Below are 10,803 nucleotides of genomic sequence, written 5' to 3'. Positions count from 1 at the left end.
TTAATTTTTTTATTTCAAAAAGTGTATTTACTAAAATGAATTCAACCCTAAAAAAAGAAAAATGTTCACATTATACATACCTCTATTAAAGTAAGTGTCTCATTGCATTGTCATTATATAGTTGTATGCCCATATCCCCTTTAGACTATGAGTACTTGAGGGCTAGATCTAAATCCTTTAATCTATGAATCCCCAGTGCCTGTCCTAATGCCTGGTTCAACATCTCCTGAGCCCCTGTTATGTACCAGATGTTCTACTGGACTCCAGAGATACAAAAAGGTAATTTGTATTCAGCCCCTGTTTTTTAAGAATCTTACACATAGCAGGAGAGACAGATAAATAAATAACTCATTATAATTAACTAGGTTTGCTCTGTGATAGACTTGTTGCCCTGGGAGTGCCTCTTCCGCTGACGGAAACAGTAGCAAACAGGTGTGGAGATGCATCATATCAGGGTCAGGGGAGGGAACAGACTTCTGCTCACCTCCCAGCTGCACCACTCAGAGACATGGGACATTGAAGAAACCCACAACTTCGCTAATACTACTCCTCATCCATAAATTCTTTGCAGGATTGTCAGTGTTCAATGAGATAATCTAATTGAAAGTGCCTGGTACCTTGCTGGGATGGTGAGTGCTCAATAACTATTAGAAGACATGGAAAAACTAAGGGTCAAGAAAGCTGAATGATTCATTCAAGATCAGATTATCATAGATAACCAATCCAAGACTCCCAACCATGTGTAGGCTCCCCAGGGCACCTTGAACACAGTAAAAATCTTGAGTTTTCTGGGTCCTCAATAAATGCCTGTTGACTTGAGACTTAATTTTGAATTTGAAACCCCATCTCTACTAAAAAATATAAAAATTAGCCGGGCATGGTGGCAGGCACCTGTAATCTTAGCTACCCAGGAGGCTGAGGCAGGAGAATCACTTGAACCCAGGAGGCGGAGATTGCAGTGAGTCGAGATTGTGCCACTGCACTCCAGCCTGGGTGACAGAATGAGACTCCACCTCAAAAAAATAAAATAAAATAAAATAAGTAAATCCTTTAATCATAGAATCATATCACTTTAAAGCTAAAAGAAATTTGAAAGAATAAATCATTGAATCACCCCCTCTGGTCCCCATAATTGTAAGGAAGGCCAAGACAGAGATGTCAGCTGTCATCTCCAAGACCCCACAGCAGGGCATGGTGGACTTCAGGTCTCCCACCTGCCATCACACTGCATCTCCCAGGTTGAGAGGCACCCTCTGCTCTCCCCTCACAGCACATCTCCCCTCTCCCTAGCCTGTGACACCAGCAGTCACCCCTCACTCATGAGAATCTTTTCTCTCTGTCTTTCAAGGAAACACTCGCCCTTGGTTTTCCTCCGGCTTCTTTGTCAGCTCCCGCCAGTCTCCTGCCTGGGCAACTCCTCCTCTCCCCATGTGGTACTGTGTGGCTTTGGGTATGTCTAGGACTTCTTTGTGCCTCTGGAAAGGTAAGGCAGGCCAGGGTTAGGGCCTGTAGAGAGTACCTGGAAGGTGAACACCAGCTTAGGCCACCAGAATAGGAAAGGTTCCGATGAGGATGCTATGATACTTACTGTGTGCCAACAGTGTTCTTTGCTCACATCATTTCACTGAAACCTCAGAATCATCCTGAGATAAACCCAATTACAATTTCTGCTTCACAGAGAAGGAAACTACAGCTAAGAAAAGTTAGAGGAATTGTCCAAAGTCACATAGAGAGTAAATGGTACAGCCAGGACTTGAATGCCTAAGGCCAAGACTTCACCACTGTGTAACTCTACCTCGTTGGAAGAGGATGTGAGGCACATCCACAGGGTTCTATCCTCCCAGCAATGGTAGCAGTCAGTCCTCAGCTTGACATAAACCTACAAGGAGGGGAAATGAATCTGCACATGTATTTACTTTCTTGCGTTAAAATTCAAGTTCACAGCCTGGCCAACATGGTGAAACCCCGTCTCTACTAAAAATACAAAAAATAGCCAGGCGTGGTGGTGGGCACCTGTAGTCCCAGCAACTCGGGAGGCTGAGGCAGGAGAATCACTTGAACTTGAAAGGCAGAGGTTGCAGTGAGCTGAGATCGTGCCATTGCACTACAGCCTGGGTGACAAGAGTGAGACTCTGTCTCAAAAAAAAAAAAAATTCAAGTTTAAATTGTTTCAGGCCCACACTCTGTGCAGTTGGGTCTGAAGTCTACAACCATGTCCCCAACCCTTTCCTTCTCATTTTCACCTGAAAAGTAACCACTGCCTCCATATGGCTCCACCTACTAAGGATGGTATTGAGCTTTATACTTCCTCAGGGCATTTTTCTCTACAGTCTCAAGTGACCCTTTAAAGTCTATCCTATGGAGCTGGAGGCCATAATCCTTAGCAAACGAATGCACAAACAGAAAATCAAATGCCTCACATTCTCACTTACAAGTGGGAGCTAAATGATGAGAACACATGGACACACAGAGGGGAACAACACACCTGGGGCATATAAGAGGGTGGAGGATGGGAGGAGGGAGAGGGAGAGGATCAGGAAAAATAACTAATGGGTACCAGGCTTAATACCTGGGTGACGAAATAATCTGTAAAACAAACCCCCGTGACAAAAGTTTACCATATGACAAACCTGCACATGTACCTCTGAACTTAATAAAAGTTAAATTTAAAATAATACATAAATAAAGTCCATCCTGAGGATGGGTTTGGCAAAAGCATTCAGGCCAAAACCCCACTCCCTTCCTGGGTTGCCACTCCATTCCTGCAAGCAACCCGTCACCCTGGTGTGTCACCTCCACCAATCTTATACTTCTAAAACCCTCCCCAGAGCCAGCTGCTCATAGCTCACGGCCCCCTCTCTCTTGCAAAGTCTCAACCTTTAACAGGAAGGAGAGATGAAAACTCATGAGTCCTCAAGTCCTTCTATTTCCTACTCAAAATCTCAAAGTCTGTAGAGACACATTCAAGGTTTGGTTTTTTCACCTTGACTAGATGATTTTTCCTGTGTGAATCAGCAGAAGTGGTCAGTCATGGGAGATTTGAACAAGCAAGCTGAGCCCTATCCATGTCAAATTAGGAGACAAAGGAAATGAGAGTGTTTTATAGGTGGCAGAGCACTAGTCAGATGTTAGATGGTGGCCGTTATTTGAGATGAGCCATCCAAGAGGACAGCAGCCTGTCTCCTTCTTAGTCCTGTCTAATCAGACACATCTGACCTCACACCCCAAGACAAAGGGTCACCAACCCCCTGCCTGCAGGCAGCCCACCAGGATACCTTCTAACTTCCAGATAGTACCTGTGGATATAGTTCTCCTGGGGGAGCATCTGTTCAGCCAGGCAGACAAAACTGCTCTTAAATGCACTGATTTGCCACTCTGAGGACCTTGGGCACCTACCATGTCACCAAAGTCCTCCCCGCGCCCCATAACTGGTTAAATGGCCAAGACTTTCCCTTGAGAGAGAGTCTTGCTTCTTGCCCAATGACTCCACTCCATGTGTTTGCAAAATAAAAACATGCAGCTAACATTATTAAATAATTTATACATCTTACCCCATTCCATCCTTTCAACTATGTTTTGATATTTCTAACACATTACATTTTGGCAACTCGAGACTAAGAGAGGTAACTAACTTTATAAAAGCCCCAAGCTAATCAATGGTAATGCTGGGATTTGAATCCATGGCTACATAGTGCAAAAGCCTACTCTCTCAATCCTTTGGATAGCGACCCTCATCCTCATAACCTAAAAATAAAGAATATAAGTGTTTACAACTGACTAAAAACTGAGGCCTTGTCTTTTATTCTTGGAAGACTAGGTAAAGGGGCAAGCTGCCCTGCTCATAAACACTTTCTTCAAAAATCCCCCAAATTGGAAAGACATTGAAGCAACAAACCCCTCTTAGGTAACTCACAACATCTGGTGCTTCTCAGATTTTCCAGTGCCAAGTGACAAAGGGGGTAAACTTTGTTGATTGTTCTCCATGTGTCCCCCCAAGTCCCTTCTCCACCTTCTGTCCTGCTTTGACCTCAGAAGGTTGGCCCCCATAGGCTGCTACACTGAGGGGCTCTTGCCCTCCAGTTTCTGGTTTAGCCAATGCAAGCCACCAGCAAGTCAAAGGGTCAAAGGGACAGGTGCTGGGTGTTGATTCCCCCTGCTCCCGCCATGCCTTGCCACAGTCTGGGCAGTGGTTGCATCTCCCTGTGACTATAGCTTCTGAGGTGACCCCTCTTGCCCTCTTCCAAGCTCCCGCTCCCCAGGGCTCCAGAAGCATAGTCCCTTCTGTTGGCCCTGAGGTCTCAAGGTGGCCACAGCTTCCCACTCTTGCTCATCCCTGGGGCATCACTACTGCACATGGGCATCCCAAACCCTGACCACAGATAAATAGACCCCTCATTAGATTTTCTTTGGCTAAACCACCTGTCTTCCACTGGGAACTGAACTGATAGAGATGGCATGGTAGAAAGACAGTGAGATGAAGGAGAAGGAGATGAAGACGCCCCAAGGCTTGCTGACCATCAGCTGAGATAGAATGCTGGAGAGCATGTGTGTCTGCCACGTGTTTTCACACACATACCATTGGCTATCGGCTTCTCATCCTCCCTCAGATCTTTTTCTTCTGAAGTCACTAAAGCAGATCTGGGTTTTGCCTGGAAAATCTTCTTAGAGGAGGTAAGAAGCTTCTAAAAGAAAGAAACAAAGCAGTAAAATGGAAGTACACAGGGTCATGTTTATCTGCCCCGTGGAGATTATCACCAAGGGCTGCTGTGCTGGTCACAGGAGGTACCAGTGTGGGCAAACACTGCATCCCCTTCACCTCCCAAATAGCTGAGAGTGTCCACTGGCCAGTCCAGCTCCTGGTCCACCCATGCCTCAGCCCTAGGGACAGTGGCAATAATTCACATTGGAGACAATTTATTCAAAGACATTCACTCTACACAGGCCATGCCCCCGTTTGCTCTTTCATCCATTCCCTGCCCTTTCCCTGCTCTGTTCTGTTCCACTGTAGACTCATTTCCCAAGCTCCTTTGCCATCCTGTAGGTTCAACCAAAGGGGGATCAGGGTAAGATTGGAGGAGAGAGTAAGGGAGATGCCAGGGTATTTCTCTTCATTTCTTTCTACCCCAAATGACATCTCTCAGATCTGTCTTCCCCATGATTCCAGCTCCTCCCCTGGCTCCAGAGCCCTGGCTCACACTGGGCAGCCCCTCCCACTGGAGGGCCCTTGGCTTCCCACCTCCTGCAGAATCCCTCTCTTCTTGGCCTGTGCTCTCGGTCTCCGTTTGGCCCCCGTTTGGCCGCTGTTTGTCTCCTCAGCTCTTCCATTGCCTGTGTAATTAAACACCCTCTGTGGAAAGACCTGGGCCTGTTTCTGTTTTCCTGACTGGCAGAGTGATTTGTGCAAGATCACATGGGTGGTAAGTGGCAGAGCAGAATCAAACCAGTTCTCCTGACCCCGGAGCGCCCACTATCCCCAGTCATACCACGCTAACCACCTCGGAGGACTCCAGGTCTTGGGATCTCACCAGGCCTTCTGCTTCCCACTGGACACTGTGCCTGGGAGTCAGGGTTTTCATATGTGGATTCGAGGCCATGACACTGGTTACCTGATTTGCCTGGATCAGAGCTTACTCAGGACCTAAAACGTAGTAGACAGCAGGCCTAGAAAGAAGGCCTCTCTTTGCTTTTGTTTGCTTGCTTCTTTGTTTATTTGTGTGCAAGAAAATCGTAAGTCAATTTAGGAACTCTCTCTACCCCATATACAAATGCCCCTCAAAATCTTCTGGGCTGGAAAGAGAACTTACTTACCCAAGACTTCCAAGCAAGGAAAGCACACTGTCGTGGCAGCACACCTCTGGGACGCTGAGGTCTGCTTCACTCCACTGTCTCCTGGAAAATTATATAACAGCCCAGAGGGCCTGACCATAATTGGTTTGGGTGTAGCTCTCTCTCCAGTTCTCTTGCTGGGTGATAATGATGAGAAACAGCACGTTCCCAGCTCCTCTCAGGTAGCTCAACGTGAAACAGACCTGATGTGCACAGCACAGTAAAATAATGAGATTTCATCTAACAGAGAGGAGGTTACATAACTGGAAATCAGCCCACCAGCAATAACAAAACAATCAGGGGGGTCAGAAAGACAGACAGCTCCATTCTCAGCTATCGATCTGGGTTCTGATGGGGGCTGGGCTGGAGATTAACAGCAGGGCCCAGTAGAGATGCAATTCTAAGTAACTCAACTGGACAGTTTCCCTAGTAGTGCCGGGAGGCTGGAGGGCTCTCAGGACCGGCTTCTCTTCCTCCAGAAACCAAGCCAGCCTTGCTTTTCCGCTTCCTTTCTGACCTCCTAGAACAGCTATTGTCAGTCCCACTGGCCCTCAAATATTTCTACCTGACTCAGAAAGGGATGTGGGAAATGGTCAGAAGGGCATGTCATTGCCATAACTACATTCCCGCATACCTACTGCATACAGAGCGATGCAGGGAGAGAATGGGAAAGCTCTCTACTTGACAGTTACATACAGGAACAAATAATGATCTTTATTCACCCACCTGACAATGGAAAGAGCTTTGATACAAAAGTATCACATCCAAACCAATCATTACAATAGCTCTGCCAGAGCAAGTGGATTACAAAGGATTATCCCCCACACAAACACACTCACTCTCCACAGACTAAAACAAAATAAAACAGGCAGAAAAGGCAAATCAGCACTACAATGAGTTCCATAGCTAGTTATATATCAAAATCTCCTGAAGACCTTTTTTTATTATTTGAGATGGGGTCTCACTATGCTGCCCAGGTTGGCGTGCAGTGGCTATTCATAGACATGATCATAGCACACTGCAGCCTTGACCTCCTGGGTTCCAGTGATCCTCCCTCCCCAGCCTCCTGAGTAGCGGGGACTACAGGCATGTGGCACCACCCCTGGCTCACTGAGGACCTTTTAAAAACTCATTCACTGTTCCCATCCCCAGAAACCAGGACCCTGTTGTCTGAGGTGGATTTTGGAGGTCACACGCTGGCCAGCCTAGCAACCTGGCTCAGAGACGAGCCTGGGTAACCACTGATGAACCCCCACAGAAGGCTTGCCTAGACTTCCTCTCTCCTTCACTCATACAAAAGGCGTGACCTTCAGTCCTCAACTGCTCAGCTTCGCTTCACCCAATCCAGAGTAGCTGCAAGAATCGAGAAAGAACTTCATAAGATGAGGAGACATCATCTAAGATTTCAAGCTCCATGTTTTTATAGGTCCCAAACACCTATACAGTGCACCTGCATGTTCAGCACTGTTCTAAAAACTTTACAAATAGCAATTCATGTCATTAATGCAACACTTCTACCAATTCCCTGGGGTGGGTACTGTGGTTATCACCCCATTTACAAAGAGGAAACAGAGGCACCCTGAGAGGTGAGGTGGGGAGCCATGCAGATCTTTGGGGGAAGGACATGTGGGCAGAGGGGACAGCAGGTGCAAAGGCCCTGAGGTAAGTCCACTTCTGGCCCATGCAGCTGGCTCAGAGTGAATGAGGGCAGGAGCAGTGGGAGGTGTCTATGTCAACTCAAACTCTATGTCCACCTGCCACAAACTATTTCAGTATTCTTTTTTCCCCAGAATATAATTACCAGAATAAACGGTTGTAGGTGTCTTTGAAGGAAGGAATGGTAGAATCATTAACATGTATACCTGCAGAGATGTCCTTCTTCCTGGGGACTTTGCCTCTCCTTCAGTGAGTCCGGGAAACTATCTCACGTCCAGAAACCAGACAAGGAACTATGACTTTTTATTGGGTGACTGCACTTACAGTCCTGATCATCTATTCTTTTTTGTTTCTTTTCCTTTACAGAAATCCTTCCTTCTAATAATAATATTCTTTTATGATTACTTTGAGACATTGTAATTGCACATATTTATGGGATACAATTTGATGTTTTGATACATATATACATTGTAAAATGACCAAATCAGTGTAGTTAGCCTGACGGTCACCTCACACATTTATCATTTCTTTGTGATGAGGACGTTCAAAAGCCTCTCTTCTAGCTATTTTCTAATATACCATATCTTACTGTTAACCATGATCACCCTACTATGCAATAGAACACCAGAACTTATTCCTCTATCTAATTGTAACTTTGTATCCATTGACCAACCTCTCCTCATCCTCCCCTCTTTTCTCTCCTCCCCAGTCTCTAGTAACCACTTTTCTACTTGCTTCTAGGATGTCAGCTTTTAATTTTTTTAGATTCCACATATGAATGAAATCATATGGTATTCCTCTTTCTGTGAATGGCTTATAGACTGTCCTCCAGGGCCATCTATGTTATCACAAATGACAGGATTTTGTTCTTTTTATGGCTGAATAGTATTTCATTGTGTATATATATGATTTTTTCTTTATTCTTTCATCCATTGTTGGGTACTTGGGTTGATGCCATATGTTGGCTATTATGAATACTGAACCAATAAACATGGGAGTGCAGATATATCTTCGATATACTGATGCCTTTTTTTTTTTTTTTTCAAATACATACCCAGGAGTGGGATTGCTGGGTCATATGGTAGTTTCATTTTTACTTTTTGAGGAACCTCAGCACAGTTTTCCATTGTAGCTATTCTAATTTATAATCCCAATAGTGCCTAAGTGTTCCCTTTTCTCCACATCCTCACCAACACTTATTTATTTTGTCTTTTTGATAATAGCCATTCTAACTGGAGTGAGGTGGTATCTCACTGTTGTTTTGATTTGCATTTTGATGTTGAGCATTTTTTCATGTGCCTGTTGGCCATTCAAATGTCTTCTTCTGAGAAATCTCTATTAAGGTCTCTGCTCACTTTTTAATTGGGTTCTTTGATTTTTTGCTGTTGAGTAGTTTAAGTTCCCTATATATTTGATATTAACTGCTTGTCAGACGTAAAGTTAGCAAATATTTTCTTCCATTCTGTAGGTTGTCTCTTCACTCTGTTAATTGTTTCCTTTGCTGTGCAAAAGCTTTTTAGTTTGATGCAGTCCCATTTGTCTATTAATGTTTTCATTGACTGTGCTTTTGAGGTCTTCTTTAAAAAATCCTTGCCCGGCCCCAGGTTGTAAAATGTTTCACCTATATTTTTTTCTACTAGTTTCATGGTTTTGGGTTCGACATTTAAGTATTTGATTTTTGTATATGGTGAGGGGTAGGAGTTTAGTTTTGTTCTTCTGCATGTGAATATCCAATTTTCCCAGCACCATTTCTTGAAGAGACTGTCTTTTCTCCAATGTGTGTTCTTGGCTCTTTGTCAAGAATCTGTTTGTTCTAGGTGTGTGAACTTATTTCTGGACTCTCTATTCTGTTTCTGACAATCTATTCTTGATTTCTTCTGCTGGTACAAGTTGAGTAGTACCCTTGTTTGCTACCCATATATTTTGCCCCTAAGGACACTGTCTTCCATTAATCATTTCCACAACTATCTGTGAGTCAGACCCCCTTTGGCTATCACTCTGAACTTGCAGCTCACTATAATAATTGCCTCCATGATAATGGATTCTGCCATGCATTACAATTATTGCATCCATAAATGGCTTCTGGACGCTAAATACTGCCACCTGGCTTCTATTGTATTGGGGTCCTATTCCTTCTGCTACTAGTCACCCTAGTTTTATCTCGAACTCCTTATCTCTGGTGATCCACATGCCTCGGCCTCCCAGAGTGCTGGGATTACAGGCAAGACCCACCGCGCCCAGCCTAGTGAGCCTAGTTTTATAATGGTTCCTCCTACCATTAGCTCTGGTCCACAGAGGAGAGCCACAACCAAACTTTGTGATGTTGGTGACTCTCTCAACAGTGCATTCCTTAAATTGTGTAAGCTCATCTAGTGGGTTTCCTGGGCTCGTGTGGTATATGCATCGAGCATACCTATGACCCTGAGTCTTTTAATTCTTTCTCTGCCACTTGTTTTGGCCGCTATGGCATTTTGACCTAACTTAGGTGGGCACAGTTCTAGGAGCCACTCTAGTTTTGGGTTCACACCATCTGATTAAATCATGTGTCTTGTGAACATATTCAAATCAATATGCTTTCCATATTTGATCTTAAGCTCTGGCATTCATGATCAAGCACTCTCAGAATCCAGTCTAAAGAACTCCTCCAGTTCCTGCCAGTAAATGCTGGCTAGATTTGGGGAGATAGATAGTTCCCTTCCTCCTTTATCAAGCTCAGCATATCCCTGGCTGGACTGTGCTGTGACTTAACCCTGGTTACATATCCAGTGGCCAAAAGGAGGCAGGACAAATACTGAGGGAGGAGAAACACAATTTATCCTGCAGGGAGAGGCCTCTGCATTGTCTTCAAGCAAGAGGATGGAGGTAATCCTAGTTTTTGTTTTGTTTTGTTTTGTTTGAGACGGAGTCTCACTCTGTCACCAGGCTGGCGTGCAGTAGCACGATCTCAGCTCACTGCAACCTCTGCCTCCTGGGTTCAAGCGATTCTCCTGCCTCAGCCTCCCGAGTGGCTGGGACTACAGGTGCGCACCACCACACCCAGCTAATTTTTAGTAGAGATGGGGTTTCACCATCAAAACCAGGATGACTTTGATCTCTTGACCTCACAATCTGCCCACCTCGGCCTCCCAAAGTGCTGGAATTACAGGCATGAGCCACCACGCCCAGCTGTAATCCTAGTTTTTAATAGGGGGGATGACCAACTTCTGCAGGCTCAAAGAGTTCAGGGAAATCTGAGAAGTCAAGATTTTGGAGATTTGGCCCAGATATACATGTGTCAGGATTGTATCCTCTTCCAGCCAGGGCCCTGACCTTGGCATAGAA

General features: G+C 45.0%; 1 long non-coding RNA gene across 1 annotated transcript; it reads right to left on the bottom strand.

Annotated features, from left to right (window-relative positions):
• Positions 1-3,709: 3,709 nt before the first annotated feature.
• On the bottom strand, positions 3,710-5,926 carry LINC01699 (long intergenic non-protein coding RNA 1699). The gene is made up of 3 exons (NR_046249.1): positions 5,809-5,926; positions 4,577-4,682; positions 3,710-3,744 (listed from the first exon to the last, which is right to left on the bottom strand). It is a non-coding gene; the product is annotated as a long intergenic non-protein coding RNA 1699 (long non-coding RNA).
• Between the last annotated feature and the right edge of the window lie 4,877 nt (positions 5,927-10,803).

The sequence above is a fragment of the Homo sapiens genome, chromosome 1 (assembly GCF_000001405.40).
Source record: "Homo sapiens chromosome 1, GRCh38.p14 Primary Assembly".
NCBI lineage: Eukaryota > Metazoa > Chordata > Mammalia > Primates > Hominidae > Homo > Homo sapiens.
Note: the sequence above shows the minus strand (reverse complement) of the source record. Positions and strands in the feature narration are given on the sequence as shown.